The following is a 23,032-nucleotide window of genomic DNA, read 5'->3' as shown; positions in this document are numbered from 1 at the left end:
ACATGATTTCTACCTCTGATAATGGAATTTCTGACAACAAAGTTATGTCTCTCTTCAGTACCAGTGAATAAATATTTTGAAGAGTAATACAAGCAGAGCTCGTGAACGAGGTAAGTGATAGGAGACAGAAAAATAAAGGGATTTAAAATTGGGATTATCACAGAATAAAATTACAGCTACTGCTCTACATTCTCACAAAGGGCTTTACTAAGTCTACTATAAAATTCAAAAGCCTTAAAAACAAGACATTAAAAGAAGCCAATCTATTACTTATGTACATTTTAACACCTTACTTTCATTAATGAAAAATACTTTTAAAAATTTAACATTTTCAACTTATAGCACTGATCAAAGGCAAACTAAGGAAAAAAGGAGATACCACTCAGCTTGCAGCATAGATTCAATAATAAAGAAGCTCTCAATATTCCTTTCTAGCTTCCTTCCTTGTCTACAAGTCAGATCTGCGCAATTGAACTTGTGGGAGAGGTTGTGAAAATAGTGTACTCTAGCAGTTTAGGATTTTCAACATCGCTCAATCTCATTGCTGTTAGAGGTCATTAAAACAATGCCTCCCAATAGAATGTCACTGGACCAGAGTGATTTTTGTTTAGAATGAAGCAACTACACTGACTCTAATAACAGTCAATGGCTAAGAGTTTGTGACATAGCACATAATGCTCGATATTATCTAAAAACACGTATCAAAAACAAAAAAGTAAAGATGAGAAAAACAGTTTATGAAACTGCAAAAGATATTAGGGAAATACTTCTCTAAGAGATAGGAGAAAGGTCTGAGAAAGGCAAAGCATCGAGAAAGCTGGGCGGGAGTGGGGAGGAGTAAGGGACAAGTAAAGAGTTCAACGGGACTGCTGTGTTCACACATAAAATTAAAAGGTCTGCAGATAATTCGGGAAAAAAACAGTCTAGCATGGCCATAATTCCAGAGTAAAAGAGAATAACAACTTCAAGATTAACTTGTTACAGTGAGGGAAAAATCTGTAGCCTTCAATAAAGGTGGAGAAATATTTGAAAAGCTGGGGAAATGCCAACAAGGAAAACACGAACTGCTGTCCTGTCTTCCTTATAGTCAGGAGCCGTTTGTATCCTCACCCCAGAGGATCCAATAGGAATCAGTAAGCCTATAACTTTCCAACCCTAAGTCACAACCTAATTCTGATAGGATGAGCTACCACGATACTTCCCACTTCGTTGTGACTAAAAGCATATACTAGTTGGGTATATAAGCAAGGCTCCCCTCCCGCCATTTGATTTAAAAGAATGAAAAGGCGGATCTGGTCATTCGTCTCCGCCCGGGGTCTCTGTAAGGACGGCGGAGAGAGGCGACCTCCGCCCAATACCAGGCGCAGCCTTGCCGTCTCCTCGGGGCTCACCAAGCAGCCACCAGCAAAGAAGCCGGTTTCAAAGGCCCAGCACGACAGGGAGAGGAAAACGGAGCATATGCAACCATACACAGTCACCAGAGTCCAGCCTCCCGCAACCAGTCGCTACAGCCAGGCGCCTGCGCCCAGAAGCGCTTCTCGCGCCGACCGTTTGTATTTGGAATTGTGGGTTCCTGCCCGCCACGCACCACCGCAAGACCTTCAAAGCTGGGAGCTTCTCTGTGCTCCAGGATTCCTCGCTGCCGATTCCACACCGCGTTCAAGACTCCTGTGAAGAGCGACTCCGCTGAGAGCCTCCTCAATGGCCAGTCCACTTCTAACTTGCAGCTGAGAAGTTTTTCTGATCTTGATGGTCAGAGTGGCTCGTGCTACGAAGTGAGAAACAAGGAATCTATAGCGAATCGTAAACAACAGAAATAAAAATGCGTCTCCGTTAAGAGTCGGAGCCTAACGTCACTTCCGGCAACAATAGGAAACGTCAAAATTGGGATAGTCGGCAGTTCTGGCCCCTGCAGCTGGAGGTACCCTGAGTTCTGAGGGTCGTAGTGCTGTTTCTGGTATTCTCATCGCGGTCACCTCTACCGGTGTGGACAAGTAAAGTTTGAATCAGCTTCTCCATGGCCTGGGCACCAGTTCCCGGCTGAGCCATTTTCCTTTTGGCTAAAAGTCCCCGCCCAGAGGCCAATTCGTCGCGGCGGCGGTGGAGATCGCAGGTCGCTCAGGTACAGGAGTCAACCTAGATATTTTAGATCTCTTGTCTCTTTTCCCTGTTCACCTTCACTTTTCTCGAAAATAAAGACAACCAGTGCTTGCCAGTTGGCCGAAACTGGCCGACCAGCAAGAGTTTGCGACCAATGACAGTGCGAAGCATCTTGAGTGACAGTAGTGGTGGCTCATTAAAGTGAGGAATCACTGTCAGGAGGCGGAACTGGGTGTGTTCCTTCTGTTTCTAGGCCATTGGGGTGTAGTTCGGTTTAGGACTCCAAGTAGTAACCCAGCGTCATTGTGAAATAAACCTGAGAAATGACAAGGGTTACTTTCTTCAGGTCCAAGTGTTGGTTTTCGGGTCGAGTGTTATTTTGGTTCCTAGACAGTTTTTGGTTCTTTACCACTTTCCAGTAATATGAATGCAAACACAAGTATAGTTAAGATCACGATGGATTGCTAGCTGCTACAGTAGTCAAACTTGGGTTATAAAACTTGTCAAACTTGTCTTTTATTTGTTTCTCAGCGACTGGGTTCTAATCTCTTACGTAGAAGGTTCTCAATATTTATTTGGCAAAATCACATAAATGGATCCCAATCCTCAGTCATTTAATTTTTTTAGTTTTATTTTTAGGTTCTGTATGAATTTACTAATAAAATAATTGATTCTACTTGTTTTACAAGTAAAATATTCATTTTCAAGGCTCCTAGGTGTATATCCACAAATGAATATATCATGATTTTTATTACGGTAAAGTGAAGACAATTTATGTTTTCTATTTCAGCTTTCCTCTTCCTTCTTTTAATGTTTGAAGTAATGTATTTCTGAGGTAGGAGCTCTACACACTTCTCAACTCTACCCTTCACGAAAATGATATGTGAAACAGAGTAGGTTTCAGAATAAAGAATGCATAAGTTTTATTATTTTTTTCATATTGGGTCAGAAATTCATCTTTAGCCAATTAACCTGACAATATGTCTGATGAGGTACTTCATTAGTTGTCTATTGCTGGGTAACAAATTACCCCCAAATTTACCCCAGCTTAAAACAACAAATATTATCAGTTTCTGTACATCAGGAATTAGGGTGCAGCGTAACTTCATTTAATAATAAGTTACAGCAAATTAACTAATATTACTTGGGGCCCTTGGATCAATTACTTCCATCCACAAAATATTATAGTAACTTCTAGATAAGCCAAAACATTGATCATAATTTATTACATATGGTCACTTTAATGGGGAATGTTTTGTGTGTTTACTGTTGCTAGGTTAAAAGATATCTTCCTCATTTTACAATATAAAAACATTGAATTACCAAATCTTTAATCACAGTGTGTTGAAATTAGTCATTCAGATTTGTAACTTTATGGTTTATTATTTAACCAACTGCTAATGTACAACTAATTTTTTCCTCATTTTGATTCAGATTTGGAAACTGGCACTATTCCATTGACTGACCCATGATAATGCATCAAAATCATTAATACTAAAGTCTAAGAATTATGCATTTAATTTCTGTTTCTTTTTCTTGAATTATTTTACTTAAATAATTTTTTAAACAATTTAAATGAAATACATCTATTTCTGGAAATTTATGTTCACTATTTCTTTTTCGTTTTGCTCTCATTGTTTTGTTTTTCTGACAAATTTCTTGACTTAGCTCTCTAATAAACTAAAACATTTTTGGCTGACTTGAATAAATTTATATCATATTTGGGGCAAGTATTTTTTTGAGACAGATTTTTATTCTGTTGCCCAGGCTGGAGTGCAGTGGTGCGAACAAGACTCACTGTAGCCTTGACCTCCTAGGTTCAAGCAATTCTCCCTCCCACCTCAGCCTTCAGAGTACCTGGGACCACAGGCACACGCCATCACGTGTGGTTATTTCTTTTAATTTTTTTGTCTGACTGTGCTGCCCAGGCTGGTCTTGAAGTCCTGAGCTCAAGCGATCCTCCTTCCACAGCCTCCCAAGGTTCAGGAATCATAGGTGTGAGCCACTGTGCTGGTGCAAGTACTTTATAGCAATATAAGATAAAAATATTTGTGGTTTGGAGTTTAGGCAACAGCTTTAGGGAGTTTAACCATTTAGTCAGCAGTTCGTGTATTTTTCAAGAATAGATTGCATAGGATTCATAAGCTATTTGAATGAAGGAACCAGATTTTAGCAAGTAAGCCAAGCTTGGAGAGACTCTATATGGAGTAGTGATTTGTGGAAGTCATGAATATAGGGAAAAAAGAGATGGAAAGGACAGATGTTAAATACACACACACGCACGCCATCATCTCTTCTTTTATTTATTAATTTGTTTTTCAGAGTTTTTTCCCTCATTTTATTTTTATGGGATCACAGAATTGTTTCTTCCAATTTTTAAATTGTAGTAAAATATACGTAACATAAAATTTACCATCTTAACCATTCTAAGTGTACAGTTCAATGGTATTAATTACATTGATAATGTTGTGCCACCATCAACACCATCTATCTTCATTACTCTTTTTATCTTGTAAAACTGAAACTCTATACCTATTAAACAATAATTCCCCTTCCCCATTCCTAGGTCCTAGCAATCACCATTCTACCTTTTGTTTCCAGTTTTGGAAACCGGAAGTGTTTGTATTCATATTACTGGAAAGTGGTAAAGAACCAAAACCTCATATAAATGGGCTTATCCAGTATTTGACTTTTTTTGACTGGCTTATTTAACTTGGCATAATGTCCTCAAGGTTCATCTTTGTTGTAGCATATGCCAGAATTTCTCTTCTTTTTAAGGTCACATAACATTCCCTTATATGTGTCAGCCACATTTTGCTTATCCATTCATCTGTTATTGGACACCTGGGTTGCTTCCATGTTTTAGCTGTTGTGAATAATGCTGCTATGAACATGGGTGAACAAATATCTTTTCCAGACCCTGCTTTGAATTCTTGAGGGTATATACCTGAAAGTGGAATTGCTAGATCACATGGTAATTCTGTTTTTAATTTTTTTTTAGGAAGCTCCATATTGTTTCCGCAGAGGCTGTACCATACGTATTACATTCACATTAACAATACATAAGGGTTCCAGTTTCTCCACATCCTTGCCAAGACTTATTTTTTTTTCGATAGTAACTATCTTAATGGGTATAAGGTGGTCCCTCATTGTACTTTTGATTTGTATTTCCCTAATGATTAGTGATGTTGACTGTATTTTCCTGTGCTTATTGGACGTTAGTGTATTTTCTCTGGAAAAATGTCTTTTCAAGTCCTTTACCCATTTTTGAATCATGTTTTTGTTATTGTTGAGTTAAAGGAGTTATCTGTAAATTATAGATATTAGATTTTATCAGATACATGATTTTCAAATATTTTCTCTCATTCGGTGGGTTGCCTTTTTACTCTGTTGATACTGTCTTTTGATGCACAATTTTTTTTTAATTTTCATAATGTTCAGTTGGTCTGTTTCCTCTTTTGTTGCTTGTGCATTTGGAAATCATTGCCAAATTCAGTGCTGTAAGCCTTTTGCCCTGTTGCCCTGTTTTTTCGTCTAAGAGTATTACAGTTTTATGTCTTAGATTTAAGTCTTTGATCCATTTTGAGTTAATTTTCATAGATAATGTTGGGTAAGGTTCCAACCTCATTCTTTTGAATGTGGATATGATTTCTCAGCACCATTTGTTGAAAAGACTGTCCTTTCCCCCATTAAATGATCTTGACACCTAGTCAAAAATCTTTTGACCATATATGTGATGGTTTATTTCTGGATTCTCTGTTCTATTTCATTGGTCTGTATGTCTCTTTTTATGCCAATACCATACTGTTTTGGTTACTGTAGCTTTGTAATAAGTTTTGAAATCAGAAAGTGTCTTCCAGCTTTGTTGTTCTTTTTCAAGTTTGGTTTGACTATTAGAGGTCCCTTGAGATTCCATGTGGATTTTAGAATTTTTTTCTATTAATGCAAAAAACGTCATTATAATTTTGGCAGGAGCTACATTGAATCTATAGATCACTTTGGGTGGTATTGCCATCTTAATAAGTCTTCCAATCTGTAACCACAGGATGTACTTCCATTTATTTGTCTTTCACTTCTTTCAGTAGTGTTTTGTAGCTTTCATTCCAGAAGCCTTTTACCTACTTGGTTAATTCCTAAGTATTTTATTCTTTTTGATGCTGTTGTAGTTGGTATTATTTTCTTAATTTCCTTTTCAGATTGTTTATTGTAAATGTATAGAAATACGACTTATTTCTGTGTCTTGACTTTATGTCTTTCTACTTTGCTGAATGGATTTATTAGTTGTAAGTTTTTGGTAGAATCTTTAGGGTAACTACAAAGGATTTTACTGCTTTCTTTCCAATTTGGTTGTCTTTTACTTTTTTTCTTGTCTAATTACTCTTGGAACCATGGAATTTTATAGCTAAAAAAGACCTTAGGGAACACCAGTTTCAAAACCCTTATTTTACAGGGGAGGAAACTGAGACCTCAAAATTTTAGTGACTTGGCTGATGCTCCCTACTAGCTAAGGAAGGAGACTGAGTCAAACTCATGTTTTCTTTCCATCAGTCTCTTTTCACTATTAAATGTTTTCTCATTTTTCACCTTCCTCCTATTTCTGGCTGCCTTCAATATTCATTTAATTTAATACCTTGTTTTATTTGTATAAAAGCAACTCAGTGAGAATTATGACTTTTGTTTTGGTTTTTAATTCCATAGCACTCATAGCAATGGCCTTTGTGGTTAGTGGGCAGGTGAGTATGTGTATACTGAGAAGGTGGGTTAGGATATGCTACCATGACTACAGCTGATTACAGCCACTTTAAGTAAATAGTGATACAATTAAGTAAGAACCATATAATTAAAAATAATGCTAGTGAGAAGTATGATACATTTATTTTAAAGTTTCAAATAGTTGGACAATGGAGCATTTCTTGAAAAACAAACCACAGAAATTGAATAAGCCTAAAATTCTTAGATTTTTGGTTGCATTTAAATAACACATCTTAATTTTTACATTTATTTAGTTGCCATTTTGGTAACACTTTTTATAGAATAAAATTAACAGGAAAAAAACCTTCAGGGAACAAAGTAATATTGTAAATCTTTTTGAATTAAAAAAAACCAAAACCTGCAAATGGTATGCCTTTTAGTAACAAAAACTGCTCTTGCAGGACCAGATCTTTAAATTTAATGAGTAGGGGCTTTTTATGTGTTCAATGTACCTTGTGACCTCTTAGTACTTAGCTATTTCCCTTTTCTCCTTAGAAAGACCTCCTTGTGGACTTACCCTTCCTTTATTTCTCTACATTTGTTGCCTTTAAATTTTAGGGATGTGATTGGTTATCAGGGTTTTTTTCTTTTTTAAAAAATTTCTCTACGCAGTCTGTTCTAAACTTCTTTGGTGGTCTATTCTTTTGGAAGTGAAGAAATAAATGCTAGGCTCCTGATTTGATTCAAAATGTCTCAGAAAATATTTTCTCATAGACTCTCCCATGTTCTTATGCTATTGAATAATATCACATGATATCCCTTAAAGATTTTTAAAACCTGAAGTAACCAAAAATAGAGTTGCTACTTTTTACTTAAAAGCACTGAAAATTTATAAAAACATATAAGTGGATTTCCTTATCGTTAGAATTTGTATTTTAGAGATAACTATTGTAGCACACATTTTAAACCTTTATCTGAGACAGGACATTTACTTATAAATTCCACTATTTAGACAACTAAGAAATACTGAAGAAAAATGACCATTTATAATGTGTATTTAAATGAGGCTATTCATATGTCAGTCATTACATACCAATGATTTAACACCGTTTGCTCAGTAAAAGCTTTATGGAATTGGTTTGCTTCAAACAAAAGTACTTAAAGCAGAATGCTTTTTTGAGACATCCGGACTCCTTTCTATTCTTGCCATCTTTCCCTGTGTAGATTTTATATGCCCAAATAGTATATAAACCATTCTTCATTACTTATTGTCTGCACAGCATGTGCCATTTGAGTGCTTAGTGCCATGAAATTATAAGCAGTAGTTACCTTTTTCTTAATAAATACTACTTTATTTTGGTGTTTAACTTGTTACAGAGAGATAGTTTGATTAAAGCTGCTTAATATTTTACAGATAGACTTTGTATTAGATACAAAATATTAATAAAACTTGTATTTTAGTCTTTTTAAGAAATAGTCTACTATTTTGAATAGGAAACAAAACATAGTAGTCAAAAATACCATCTCTTAGAAATGTAACGATCTTCTAGAAGTTAAAAAGTATAGAAAACTATTATTGTTCTTATAAATTTTAATAAATGTGTAATTATTTGTAGTTAATCCATAGTTTGTACTGCTTTTAAGTGGAAGCGCTTTTATGCTGTTGTAACAGACTTGGTTAGACTAAAACTGCTACTTTAAAAAAAATACATCCAAAATTATGTCAGAACAATATAGCTGTTTCAGAAACTACATACTGCTTTACCAATTAAAAGATGCTTTTATATACATTCTCTTAGTTAAGGCTCATAGCCACCCTGTAAAATAGATAGGAATGATTTCCCCCATTTTATAGGAAACAAAAGATCAGAACCTTGTTTGAAATACCTAAGGTCACACAGCAAGTTACAGCGTAATTGGAGCTCCACCTTTAAATTCATCCTCCACAGTAGTAGTGTCAAAAAACTTCTACATTACTGTAAAACAGAGATTATAGTATATAGCCCACTTTAGAGATTTCAGTTTTATTTATTTATGCTGAAATTAGCATAATAAAACTGAAAGTGGACAAATTAATTTTTAAAAACCAAAGATCTACACGCCACTGCACTCCAGTCTGTTGACAGAGCGAGACTCCCTCTCAAAAAAACAAAACAAAACAAAATCTAAATATATTTAAATTTTTTTTAAAAATTGGCTCTGTCAGGCAGTCACAGTGGCTCATGCCTGTAATCCTAGCACTCTGGGAGGCCGAGGCAGGCGGATCACATAGTCAGGAGTTCAAGACCAGCCTGGCCAATATAGTGAAACTCCGTCTCTACTAAAAATACAAAAATTAGCCAGGCATGGCGGTGCGCGCCTGTAGTCCCAGCTACTCGGGAGACTGAGGCAGGAGAATCGCTTGAACCCAGGAGGCAGAGGTTGCAGTGAGCCGAGATTGTTCCACTGCACTCCAGCCTGGGCAACAGAGCAAGACTCCAACTCAGAAAAAACAAGTTGGCTCTGTCAAATAAATATTTGGTCAATATGTAATAAAAGTATTACTGTTAATATTGCTATTGTTATTTTAATGGAAACAAGGGCATATAAGAATATAGGAGATTCTAAATAAAATTTACCAATTTTAATGTATTTTAATAAGTAGAAGCATTTTTCTACAGATATTAGAAATATAATATTTGTAGCAATCCAAATTAATTCATATAGCTTATTACTTTGTTTTTAAATAAGTAATTATACCAATTTTCTAATTAATGTATTTTATATGTACATTGTCTTTTTTATTAGACTAAGAGTTACACAAATATCGATCCTTTTTGCATTTGTACCTTACTCTGTTGTTTATATATCCTATGTAAGTGGTCAAAACATCATTTAGGATTTGTGTCTATAAGGATTTGTATTCCTTAATTCCATCTTCTTTTGATCCATATGTATTCAAATTTACCTGAAGTGAGAGATGATTCATAGGTTGTAGATTTTTCACAATTAGTTGGATTCCCAAAATCTAAAATAGTTACTATTTGTGAAATGATGGTAGACTTCCCATGTCTTTGCTCACCCTCTTTAAAGCATTCATTAGAGTTTCTAATTCCTTTTTATAAAACATCTTTATTAAGGTATCATTTACATACAATAAAATTCATTCACTTTAAATGTGCAGTTGCCTATCCTTTTTTAAACTTTTTTTGTTTTTTTCCATCCTTCTATGATTTTTTAAGATAATTGTAGATGTACATGCAGTCTCAAGAAATATAGAGTCATCCCTTGTACACTTTACCTAGTTTCTCTGATTGGTAATAGTTTTGTAACTATAATATACTATCAAAACCAGGATTTTGACATTGATACAATCCCCCATCTTACTCATATTCCCCTAGTTTTATTTTTACTCAGTGTACATATGTGTGTGTATGAAGTTCTGTGCAAGTTCACATATCCAGCACCATAGTCAAGATAGTAAATAGTTGTAACACCACAGGGATCTCTCACACTGTGCTTTTATAACCGTACGCACCTCTCTCCTGGCTAATGATGTTGACCATCTTACCATGTGCTTATTTGCCATTTGTATATCCTCTTTCATGAAACGTGTGTTTATATCTTTTGCCCATTTTTATATTGGATTGTTTGGTTTTTGTTTACTATTGTTTTGAGAGTTGTTTATATATTCTAGATACTCGTCCGTCAGATATGTGGTTTACAAATATTTTCTCTCAATCTGTAGGCTTTCCTTTCATCTTCCAAATATAGACTTTCAAAGAGCAAAAATTTTTTATTTTGATGAATTCGATCAATTTTTACTTTCATGATCATCCTTTTGATATAAGTCTGGGAATTCTTGGCCTAGCCTTAGACCCCAAAGATTTCCTTCTATGTATTTTTCTAAAATTTTTATAGTTTTATGTTTTACGTTTAAGTCTATGGTCCATTTTGAGTTAATTTTTGTAAAAGGTGTAAGGTTTAGGTCAAGGTTCATGTAATTCATTTTTTTTAAAATCAGTGCTTACTAATCGTTTATTCATTCAACAAATATTTTCTGAGCACTTTATATGCCAAGGCACTGTGTTTGATACTGGGTTTATTCATGTAACCTATTGTGTGGAGTCAGTTCCTTATTTTAGTACTTACAGTCATCATTTTGCATTTTACCATGTTAACTGAAACTAGTGCGTGTTGGAACTATGGCCTTGCTATGTAAATGGCATCTCTCCAAATTTCACAGATCCCAAATTAATGAAATTCAGGACCAGGATTATGACTACTCAGGTAATTAATCCACAGTTATCAGGTGTATTTGAAATGAAGGAACCAAAATAATAGTTATCATTTAAAGAGGGCGAGAGGGATGAGTACGAAACTACCTTTTATTGTAAACTACCTACTATGGGTTAAGTTCCATAAATGTTATCCCTACTAAGTCCCATGGAATAAGAATTATTATCCGTTATTTTACTAATGAGAAGAATGAGGATCAGAAATCACAGGCTAATCAGATTCCGTGTTGGGGTTTGATGCTGATCTTTCTTCACATCAAAGCCTGTGTGCTTTCCACAAGAACAGCAGTAGCCTGAAAGAGCAGCTGCAGCTGGGACCAACGATGGAGGTAATAAACAGTGACGGGGTAAAAAGAGATGAGAACCAGTGGTGAAGAAACAGATGGTAAATTGCTTTTGTCATCCATGGGCTCCAGCGGTTCTGGGAATATGGTTTGTGGGTTAAGAATAAAAGCTTTGGACTCAGATAGAACTGAGTTTGAATCCTAAATCTTCCATTTTTCCAGCTTTGACTTCTCAGGCAAATTTGCTTAACCTCTCTGGACCACTATTTCTTTAGTAATGGTCTTCAGTCTGTATTACACTGAGCCCTAAGGTAATAATAATAATAATAATTCTTAAACTGAGTACATAAACTCAAACACACATCTTTTTCAAATTTACATGCCTGGATTCCACAACTAGGAGATTTGTAGTTACAAAAAAATTGTTAGAGGAATAAAAATAACCCTTGAATACTTTTTAGCCAGGTTTACAAATTTTTAATATTTTGCCACATCACCTTATTGTTCCATCTGTATAGACATAGACGTTACTGTTTTGCTGAACCATTTTGGAGTAGGTTGCATACATCACACCATCACACTTCAGTGTGTGTTCCCTAAGAATGAGGATATACTTCTGTATAGCCATTTCACAGTTATCAAGTTTAGGAAATTTAACATTGATACTATGATACCATATTTTTATCCAATCTTCAGCCCATATATCTAGTTTCTTATTTATCTCAATAATGTGCGACATAGCAATTTTTTTCCAATCCTGTTGACATACTGCATTTCGGTGGTATTGTTTTTAGCCTCTTTTAATCCAAAACTGTTCTTCCACCTTTTTTCTTTTCTTTTCTTTTTTTTTTTTTTAACTTTTATGACATTGGCATTATTGATTTATTTTTTAGGAACAGAGTTTTGCTCCGTCACTCAGGTTGGAGTGCAGTAGTGTAATCTTAGTTCACTGGAACCTCCAATTCCTGGCTTCAAGTGATCCTCCTGCCTCAGCCGCCTAAGTAGCTAGGACTACAGGCACATGCCACCACACTCATCTAATTTTTAATTTTTTATAGAGACAGGGTCTCGCTATGTTGCCCGGGCTGTCCTCAAGCAATCCTCTTGGCCTTGCTCTCCCAAAGCACTGAGATTAGAGGCATGAGCCACCATTCCCAGCCTGGCATTGGTGTTTTTGAAGGAAAATATTCTGTTATTTTACAGACTGCCTTTTGAGTTTCTCTGATATTCCCTATTAAATTCAGATTATGGATTTTTGGCTGGAATACTATATAATGATGTTGTGTCCTCAGGGCATCACATCTAGAGGCATATGATGTGCATTTGCCTCTTATTTGTAAATGTTAATTTTCATCATTTGGTTAAGGTTTTGTCTTATTTCTTAATTTTTTCTTGTAATTAATGACTGATATGTGGGAAGATACTTTGGGATTCTGTAAGTATTCCATTCTTTGTCAAACTCCAGATTCAACAACATCCATTGATAATTCTTGCCTAAATTATTTTTTCTCTGATGGTAAAATGATAATTTTTCTAACTACATTATTCTTTCTATCTTCTTTAATTAGAATTCTACTCTAAAAAAGAGCTTTCCTTCTCCTTTATGTTTTTATTGATCATCATCAGTGTAGACTCACAGATTCTTTTTTTATGTAATGGATTATACAGTTGGTCCTCAGTATTTGTGGATCTGCATCCAGTGTCATCCAACCACAATTGAAACTATTTGGAAAAAAATAGAAAGTAACAGTACAACAATAAATAATAATACAAATTTTAGAATACAGTATAACAACTATTTACATAGCATTTACATCTTATTGGATGTTATAAGTAATCTAGAGATGATTTAAAGTATACAGGAGGATGTATACTATGCCATTTTATACAAGGGACTTGAGCATTCATGGATTTTGGTATCTGGGGGAGGTGACATGAGGGGGTGATCCTGGAACCAGTCTACTGCAAATACTAAGGAGCAATTAATTCATTACTGTCATTTTTATTTTGATGTTCCAGGTTTGGCCAATAGAAGCCTCCTTCAAATTAGCTCCTAATGTCCTTTTGACGTTATCCCATTGCTTTTGTTTTGTTTTGATTTGCTATTAGTTCACTGAACACTCATAATCCAAGTTTAGGAAACATTGCCTTAGGAGTTTCTTTGTAGCCCCTAAGGGGGTCCCAAGTAAACTGGAAAGGTACAAGTTGAGAAGAAGATGCACCTTTTCACCATATTAGTGTATAGCAGAACTTTGATGAGTACCTCCTATAGGTAAATCCCCCAAATACATAATATATATAAGATTTTATATCTATTTAAATTAAGATTAAAATTTATTGACCAGTTACCAGATGAAATCAGGAAAAATAAATCAAGTAATTGCTATGCAAGTGTTTCAGCCACATTTTAATGCTTGAACATTGGATCTTTGAGGCAATAAGAAGTGACTTACAGATTTGTGCACCATATTCCTTCCATTGAGGTGATTGGTTTGACAGCCATTATGCTGGGCCAATTGTAAATATAAGGAGGGTGGTGGCAGGGAGTTTTTCTCTAATGTCATTCAATTTCTTTAGCAAAAATGCTTCTTCATTTTGCCTGAGTGAGGGAAAGGGGTTGGGGTACATACCTAAGCATTCTAGATATGTGATGTATGTGTGTTGAGGGGAGAGGTTGTGGTCCATTGTTACATATACATATGCACATTATTTCATTTAATTCTCATAAAAATCATACAAGGGGGACATTTTTATTCTTATTGTGTAGGGAAGGAAACAGTGACCCAGAGATGTTAATATCCTCATTGTTTTGCTCATTTGACTCTGAATTTCTCTCTTCCTTGTCCTATGTTTTGGACTCCCAAGCCTCTTGAGGTTTCTGCAAGGTACATAAGCTTCTGCTTCCCTCTCCATACGATTGCAGACTATCCTCTGTCTTTCTCTACATGGCTTCATTAGTAGCCACTCCTCCTTCTACTTTTCATGTTGCAGAAATATGTTGAAATCTCATGTTCATGAATGTCCTGTTTTCATTTTCTTTTAGTTGTAGTTTCTACCTTTTTTTTCTCTGTCATTTTATGGGAGAGAGAGGTGATAAATATATGTGCTCCATCTTACAAGAATACAACCAAGGTTGAGATTTTTTTCCAAAAAAGTTCCATAAAAGATTGTTTCAAAAGTGAGTCCAAAAATTGTTTCTTCTGTTTCCTGTCCAATTGATATCTTACAAATTGCAAATCATGGTCATGAGATGATACCCTGCCATTTATACTTATCCCAATATTAGTTTAAAACCTATTCCTGAGAAGCCGAGGCGGGCGGATCACCTGAGGTGAGGAGTTCGTAGACCATCCTGGCCAACATGGTGAAACTCCGTCTCTACTAAAAATACAAAAATTAGCCAGGCGTGGTGGCAGGTGCCTGTAATCCCAGCACTCGGGAGGCTGAGACAGGAGAATCACTTGAACCTGGGAGGTGGAGGTTGCAGTGAGCCGAGATCGCGCCATTGCACTGCAGCTGGGGAACAAGACAAGACTAAATCTCAAAAAAAAAAAAAAATACTATTCCTAAGACATGAGCATGAATAAAAATGATCTTGAAGTTTAGCATATTAAATTTAAGCTATGTAATACCAAAAGAGCTTTTGTAGAAAGAAAAACACCATATATGTTTAGTAATCCTAGATATAACTTTACTGAAATGTTAGCAGGTGGGAGGACAACAGATCATATAGGGGTGATAGTGGCTGTTTGCTCTATAAAAGGACCTTTAGCTAAGTAGGAAACTTTATGCAGTCTTCTAGATAAATACCTCTCAAAGGCATTATTTTTTAATAATGCTGGACTCTTCCTAAAATCATGTTACTTTCCATTTACGTCTTCCCAGCTACTGTGCCACAGCAGCATAGGACTTTAGGAACAGAAAGTTAAGTTTGAAATGTAAGCTATGATAATAAACCAAAATATGAAATTCTTATACATGAGATTAATTTAATAAAATAGCTCTGTCTCGGCTAATGTGGCATGTTTATACACAATACCACTGAGTGTTCAAGGTCGCACAGTTTGGTTGCCAGTCCACATTCAGTAGCCATTCAGTAGCCATTCATGTCAGGCTTCTAAGTTTCCTGTTTACTACCATGCTCCCTGAGTGTATTTGCAGGTAGTACAGAATTGAACATGAATATTTTATCCTTAAACCAAAACAGTATATAATAGCTCTGAGACACAAGGAGCATTAGTTGACTGCTGTATTAAAATGGTTATAATTAATTGATAGTTATATTTGCATAATTTCAGGGAGTAGAAATTCTGGGATCATATTCGTTTGCCTATTTGGCTGTTGCTTCATTTGATGCTTCATCCAATTTATAAAGGAGTTCTGATTTATTCTATTTTGTGCTAATCATTCTCTGGAAATTATCAATTTAAGTTTACTAAATAGTATCTAAATCTTCAGTTGTAAGTATTCATTTTATTACCATTCTTTTTTTTTTTTTTTGAGACGAGTCTCACTCTGTTGCCCAGGCTGGAGTGCCACATTCTCGGCTCGGTGCAACCTCTGCCTCCCGGGTTCAAGTGATTCTCCTGCCTCAGCCTTCCCAGTAGCTGGGATTACGGGCGTGCACCACAATGCCAGGCTAATTTGTGTATTTTTAGTGGAGACGAGGTTCGCCATGTTGGACAGGCCAGTCTGGAACTCCTGACCTCAAGTGATCTGCCCGCCTCGGCCTCCCAAAGTGCTGAGATTACAGGCATGAGCCACCACTCCTGGCCGCATTTTATTACCATTCTGAAAAATAAGGAGAAAATGTACAGTTGCGATTGCTTTGGGGTTTTTTCCCCCATTTTTTTTTTTGTTTTTATTTCCTTGGAAAGGAAGAGTTTCAACTTTGAAATCTTATGGAGAATTTTTTTGTAGCATAATTTCTCTCTGTGACCTAAGTAATTATGAAATTTTTGTTTACTTCTGTCAGATGATAAATAATGAAGTTATGTTTCTGTGTTTGTAGACCAAGAAAAAACATGTTTGGTTTCATTTCGAAGCTCCTTAGAAAGAATTCTATAGATCCTCTCAACATGATAAAGAAGCTTTGAACAAAATAAATTCAAATTTGGAAGAAAAGGCATGGGACACCTTGAATTGTATTAATTACAGTTGATCTTCATTATTTATAATTTTGTATTTGTGAATTTACCTACTCACTAACATTTATTTGTATCTCCCAAAGGAGTACGCCTGGTGCTTCTGCCGCCTTTAGCAAACATGCGCAAGAGCTGAAAAAACTGTTGTTCAAGGTGCACATTCGCAGCTGAAGTTGAAGGCAAGGCTCTGCCTTCTTATCTTAGCTGTCATTATAAACAAGTGTCCTTTTTGTGGCTTATTTAATGCCACATTTCCCACATGCTTTTTCTTGGTGATTTTAGTGTTTAAAACGGCCCCCGGCCGGGCGCGGTGGCTCACGCCTGTAATCCCAGCACTTTGGGAGGCCAAGGCGGGCGGATCACGAGGTCAGGAGATGGAGACCATCCTGGCTAACACGGTGAAACCCCGTCTCTACTAAAAAATACAAAAAATTAGCCGGGCGTGGTAGCAGGCGCCTGTAGTCCCAGCACTCTGGAGGCTGAGTCAGGAGAATGGCGAGAAACTGGGAGGGAGGCGGAACTTGCAGTGAGCCGAGATCGCGCCACTGCACTCCAGCTTGGGCGACACAGCGAGACTCCATCTCAAAAACAAAACAAAACAAAACAAAACAAAAAATGGCCCCCAAGCCTAGTGCAGAAGCGTTATCTAGTTTTCCTAAGTGTTGTGCCTTATGGATAAAATACATGTTAGATAAGCCTCATTCAAGCCTGAGTTATAGTGCGGTTGGCCATGAGTTCACAGTTAATGAATTAGCAATATGTATTAAATGTCTTTCAGCAGAAACACACATACAGTAAGGTTATGTATTGATCAGTTAATGAAAATATTGTGAATAGAGGCTTACAGTAACCTAACCCTGTAATTCCCTAGGAACAATGGTTCAGTATTGCTAATTCAGTGTTTGCAGAAACTTTAAAGAACATAATTGCCATGAATAACAAGAAGCAACCGTGTTTCTTTTATTTCTGTATGAGATAGACTAACATAGACTATGCTCTTAGAAGAGTAAATATTTTTTCAAAGAAATAAATATCTATTTTCTCCACCTATTTTGAGTGAACAAATAAAGCTGTAGTTTCATCACAAAATCCATATTTACACCAAAACTAGTGATTTCAAATACAAAAACTTATTTTGTGTTGAATTTTTTTTGAATTTGAAACTTTTTGCATATTCAGTGATTCCACATTGCAGCTGAATTTTATTTTACCTAACAATTGCTGCAAGTGACAGGACAGTAATATATCTTTTATAATATTATGTTTCAGTTTTAAAATCTTTATACCAAGATATTATTAAAACTTTTAACACAAATCTGAAAACTTTATACTTTGAAATTAAGTTTTAATTGGTTCAGTCTAAACACTATTTTCAAGAGTTTGAAATCATGGACGAACCCCGCATGAAACTGCATCATATTCTACATCTCTTTTAGAGCTAGTGTTGACAGTTTATTTTCTTTTAATTTTTAATTTTAATTTTTTTTAGAGGCAAGGTCTCACTCTGTCACTCAGGCTGGAGTGCAGTGGTGTGATCATAGCTCACTATAACCTCAAACTCCTGAGCTCAAGTGATCTTCCTGCCTCAGACTCCTGAGTGGATAGGACTACAGGTATGCACCATCGCACCTAGCTAACTTTTTTTGTATTTTGTTGAAACGGGGTCTATGTTGCCCAGTCTGGTCTTGAACTCTTGGTCTCAAGCAGTCCTCCTGCCTCAGCTTCTCGAAAAGTGCTGGGATTACAGACATGAGTCACCATACCTAGCCACATCTTGACAGATTATTAACAATAACACAAAGACCTATTTCATGGAACTGCTATTGGCACCATCCTCAGGCATGCTGAGTTTTAAAATTTTCTGTGAAAGACAACACAGCCTTTTTTTGTTTTCTAGAGTTTTTTGTTGTTGTTGCTGGGTCATTGATATAAAAGAATTGGATTTACAAGAAGAAACAACATAAAAACATGGTCACAATATGAAATAACTAAAGGAGGTGAATTGTGTGTAGAGGCCCTACAAAGCTGTGCAAGTAGCAACATGAACAAATAAGCTTATTCAACAGGCAGGACATCAGAACAGTTTAAGTATCATTAAATAAGCTTTATGAAAGTGCTTATTTTCACTTGATAAAAATATGCTTGTCAAAGTAATATCTAACGTATTGACTGTTAGTTAACTGTTAGCCATGAAATTAACTTTATGTACATTATCTTACTTAACACAATAGCTTTTTGAGCTATAGACATTTTTATCATTATTATTTTTTGCATTGTACATGAAGAAACTAAAGCTCAGAGTAGTCAAGTAACTTTCCCAGGGTCCTGTAAGTAAGAACTAATAAAGTCAGGATTTAAACCCAGGTCTGTCTGACTTCAAAACCCATACCACTATACTCCCTCCATGACTTGCTTTACAACTTATACAATGGATGTCACGTCATTTTGAGAGTTTTAAAGCTTTTCTGACAGTTACACCCATGTTTCACATCCCTATTATGCTAAGGAAGATAGGGAATGGGGGCAGAACGCTACAGACTCCCTTTTCTTTCTCCAAATGCTAAACTCATGATGTTACTCTTTCTCAGAGTGCTTTATCATTACTGTGTTTTTACCCAGGATCAAGAACTGCTTTAAAGGGAAACGAAAGTCCCAAGGGGACAATTTTCAGTATTGTTTAGCAGTAGGAATACAGAAAATAAGGTATAATTTTGCAGTTTTCTTTGTCTGAACTATGTATACATGAGCCTCAACCCTCCAACCTCCCCATTATTATTATTATTATTTTTTAAAGAACCAGCTGCTGGCTTTACCTCTTTCTACCTGCCGGATGCTTTCTGAATCATATTATCCAGTGTGTTCAATTTAAGTGATCCCCATTAAAGTCCGGAGCCTAGGGAAATCACCCTGATTCTTTGTTCCCTAGCAACAGGCCTAAGAGTAGCAACAGCTGCTTAACCATATGCCACTAGAAAGATTCTGTAGGAAAATAGACTGAAATTGTTATAAATGTTTTAAATATTGAGACTTCAGATACTGCAGTTACCATGTTTGATAATTTACCTTTAGTGGTACAAAAACAAAAGAGAATAAATTTAATTATTTAAAATAACAGCTGTGCTAGGTGAGCTCAGCAATTAATGTGATTTCTAGATATTTTCTTGCTAAGTTAAATAGAGGAATAGCAATGGTGAAAATAAAATACTTTTCTTTATGATTAGTAGACTTAAAATGTTCAATTTGTGTCAAAATTAAGTTGTACTTAATGTTGTAATGTGACATGGTACATTTAAACAAATATAAAACTTGTACTTATAATTTTTTGTTGACATTCTCTATTTTTTGTACGTTGATCATTTCTACTGTCTCCATAGTTTTGCCTTTTCCAGAATGTCTTATAATTAGAATCATACAGTAAAGAACTTTTTTAGATTTGCTTCTTTTACTTAACATTAATAATAGGCACTTAAAGTTCCTCCATGTCTTTTCATTGCTTGATAGCTCATTTCTTTTTAGTGCTAAATAATTTCCCATTGTATAGATATACTGTACCACAGCTTATTTATACATTCGCATAATGAAGTACATCGTAGTTGCTTACAGGATTTGAAAATTAATTACCAAAACTGCTTTAAACATTCACGTGTAGGTTTTTGTGTGGACATAAGCTTTTAATTAGGTAAATACCTAAATAAAAAGCTTTTAATTAGGTAAATACCTAAATAAAAAGCTTTTAATTAGGTAAATACCTAAATAAAAAGCTTTTAATTAGGTAAATACCTAAATAAAAAGCTTTTATTTAGGTAAATGATTCAGCTAATGCTGAATCATACAAAGTATGTTTAATTTTTAAAGAAACTACCTGTCTTCCAAAGTGGTTGTATCATTTTGCATTCCTACATTCTTGCCAGCATTTGGTATTGTCACTGTTTCGGATATACTCTTTTAATGGGTGTGTAGTAGTATCTCATAGTTATGTTATTTTCAGTTCCCTCACGACATATGATGTTGAGCATCTTTTCATGTGCTTATTTGCCATTTGTGTATTTTCTTTGGTGAGGCGTCTATTCAGATCTTTTGCTCATTTTTAAAGTGGATTATTTTCTTACTGCTGAGGTTTAAGAGTTCTTCACATATTTTGGATGCACAGTCTTTTTATCATATATGTGTTTTGCAAAGATTTTCTCCTGGTCCGTGGCTTGTCTTTTTATTTTCCCGATATTCTGTTTTTTTTTTTTTAAGAATTTTATTTGTATAGCTTAACCACTGATTTAGGAAAAAATACCATGGTGTCGTGTGTAGTAGGGAGAGAAGGGTTATCTTTTGTGCCTTCTTTTCAAAAACAAATGTGCCTACATTTTAAAATTATTAATATGTTTCTTCTCTTTGTACCTCCCCACCATACCTGTATAGCTTAAGCTGCTGGGATTCCAAGCAGTGCAATATAAGGTGGGGGAAGAGTTAAAAATTATCCTGGACTATTTTTTCTGTTTTAATCAACAAATGACCGAATTTAGTGGCCATTACCCAAATAATAGCCAATGGTTTAGTAAATAAATGCGTGGATTATACCTTTTTAAATACTAAAATAAAATCCCTATGGATTCTTCAGAAGTACCTGGGAAAAGACACCAGAAGAAGGCATGCTCTAGTCTGCCCACTATTTTTTCTGTTTTAATCAACAACAATCTTTGACATTCTTTGAAGTTCCACTCAATTTTCAAATTATTTCTGATTAAAAGATATCTAGTCACTGTTGTTGGTTTGTTTTTTGTCTTTTGGGGTTTTTGCTTTTGTTTTTGTTAGTACTTATTGTAAACAGTTAATTGAAGCCACATTATATTTTAAGTTCGGGTCATGCTATAAAAATTATTTGACTATTTTAATGATTTTATGGGAAAGTTAGTATTTTTTCCAAGTTTTTGAAACACACAGGTATTAGTAGTCAACTCGAGTTGATAAAAGTATTTTGTTTGAAAAAGAGATCATGAAAGTAATTATTTGTATTCATTAGGAACTCCGATTTAGTTGTTCTGAATGACTTTATTTGCTCCAGAAAAGCTATTTAAAGGCAATGCCAAATCTAGCTCTAGGAATTTTCTAATACATTTGTACATGAGGAAGTCAATATATGTGACAGACAAATGTAGAATGCTCTGGTGGGAGGTCAGATGGTAGTGGGGAGACTAGAGCACACCTTTCTTCTGGTGTCTTTTCCCAGGTACTTCTGAAGAATCCATAGGGATTTGTGGAGAAGAATTAGAAAATTTCTCTAAATTACAATTTTTAATTTAAGGCAACAACAAAACTAAATAGTCTACTGTTACCGAGCTATTTATCATGGAGTTCTAGGTGTCTAATTTACAAGGTTTCTGAATTAGACTTCAGGGCCTATGTTACATTTTATTACAGTCTACAATGTAAGTGTAGACTGGCAAGAATTAAACTAAAAGCCTGTTTCCCAGCTGTTACGCATCTGGGAGTTTGGTTAAAAGGAGCTAGCTTAGCTTAGACTGAATTGTGATAAAAAGCAGGGTCTGGAGGCCTTTTAACTAAAGTCCGTGCTCTGATCAGAGCTGTATTTAATACTGGCCCATAAGTCCACATAATTATAATTTGTAAGAGTATTAAGGACATCAGTAACTTTTAAATCTTACCACGTGAAAAATGATTATGTCACATATGGACTTTAGAAGTAGTTAGCAAACTGGGATAAAGGTGATGATCGAACCAAGTAATTCTGAAACTTTGTCTATCAAAATTTGCACTTATAATTTTCCAGCTATTCTTAGTAATATACTTCTGGTTTTAGTAGGTTTTAATGAGAAGTTTTAATTCTGATAAATGAATGCTTCATGTCAGATTTGTTATACCACTGGGAAAAATGGGTTACTTTTTAAATGTCACCCTTATTACATTCTGGCTTTTTCCCAGGCTTGCAGATGGGTCAAGGGTTGTGGAGAGTGGTCAGAAACCAGCAGCTGCAACAAGAAGGCTACAGTGAGCAAGGCTACCTCACCAGAGAGCAGAGCAGGAGAATGGCTGCGAGCAACATTTCTAACACCAATCATCGTAAACAAGTCCAAGGAGGCATTGACATATATCATCTTTTGAAGGCAAGGAAATCGAAAGAACAGGAAGGATTCATTAATTTGGAAATGTTGCCTCCTGAGCTAAGCTTTACCATCTTGTCCTACCTGAATGCAACTGACCTTTGCTTGGCTTCATGTGTTTGGCAGGACCTTGCGAATGATGAACTTCTCTGGCAAGGGTAAGTTAAACCCACCAAAGTTGAATTCAGGTATCTCTAAACATAATCATGCTTCAATGTTCTTTTTATAATGTATATTACAAAATATTTTCTTTAAACTTGGGCTTGTACTTTGAGATGCTCTTTATTAAAACCTGGAAAAATATACAGTTAGCATCACAGTCAAATTTGATCTTGTGAAAAGGAGGACAATAGAAAATAGAATAATAACTTTACAGTTAGAAGAGAGGTTACCAATCAGGCTCTGTCAGTTGATTATAAGTC

At 35.4% G+C, this 23,032-nt stretch overlaps 2 protein-coding genes across 21 annotated transcripts in view, besides 3 other annotated features; one reads left to right on the top strand and one right to left on the bottom strand.

Moving 5' to 3' along the window:
• Window positions 1–1,826, bottom strand: part of CEP44 (centrosomal protein 44) — a 49,676-nt gene extending 47,850 nt beyond the window's left edge. For 6 of the 18 annotated variants that reach the window (NM_001145314.2, XM_024454231.2, XM_024454232.2 and 3 more), the window contains exon 1: window positions 1,471–1,621. The gene's annotated coding sequence lies outside the window, so the exon portion shown is untranslated. Of the gene's footprint in view, window positions 1–1,391 lie in introns of all 18 variants that reach the window. The other 12 variants (XM_011532286.3, XM_011532287.3, NM_001040157.3 and 9 more) reach the window with 3 other exon arrangements.
• Window positions 1,389–1,656: a silencer, noted in NCBI's record as "fragment chr4:175205027-175205294 (GRCh37/hg19 assembly coordinates)". NCBI's record gives its function as "represses an EF-1alpha promoter that drives an FKBP-Casp9 reporter gene in an ReSE screen in K562 erythroleukemia cells {active_cell/tissue: K562}" and the evidence as "EXISTENCE:reporter gene assay evidence [ECO:0000049][PMID:32094911]".
• Window positions 1,389–1,670: a biological region, named in NCBI's record as "ReSE screen-validated silencer GRCh37_chr4:175205027-175205294".
• Window positions 1,421–1,670: an enhancer, noted in NCBI's record as "active region_22162". NCBI's record gives its function as "activates an Ori minimal core promoter by ATAC-STARR-seq in GM12878 lymphoblastoid cells {active_cell/tissue: GM12878}" and the evidence as "EXISTENCE:reporter gene assay evidence [ECO:0000049][PMID:35858748]".
• A 38-nt stretch (window positions 1,827–1,864) lies between the features above and the next one.
• Window positions 1,865–23,032, top strand: part of FBXO8 (F-box protein 8) — a 47,010-nt gene continuing 25,842 nt past the window's right edge. For 2 of the 3 annotated variants that reach the window (XR_007096390.1, XM_047450062.1), the window contains exon 1: window positions 22,432–22,768. Coding sequence is in view for 2 of the 3 variants with exons in the window: in XM_047450062.1 (XP_047306018.1) it covers window positions 22,440–22,768 (329 nt within the window). In the remaining variant the exon portion in view is untranslated. Of the gene's footprint in view, window positions 2,123–22,431; window positions 22,769–23,032 lie in introns of those variants that run through there. The other variant, NM_012180.3, reaches the window with a different exon arrangement.

Source organism: Homo sapiens, chromosome 4, assembly GCF_000001405.40.
Source record: "Homo sapiens chromosome 4, GRCh38.p14 Primary Assembly".
NCBI classification, from domain to species: Eukaryota; Metazoa; Chordata; class Mammalia; order Primates; family Hominidae; genus Homo; species Homo sapiens.
This window is presented reverse-complemented; position numbering and strand designations above follow the sequence as displayed.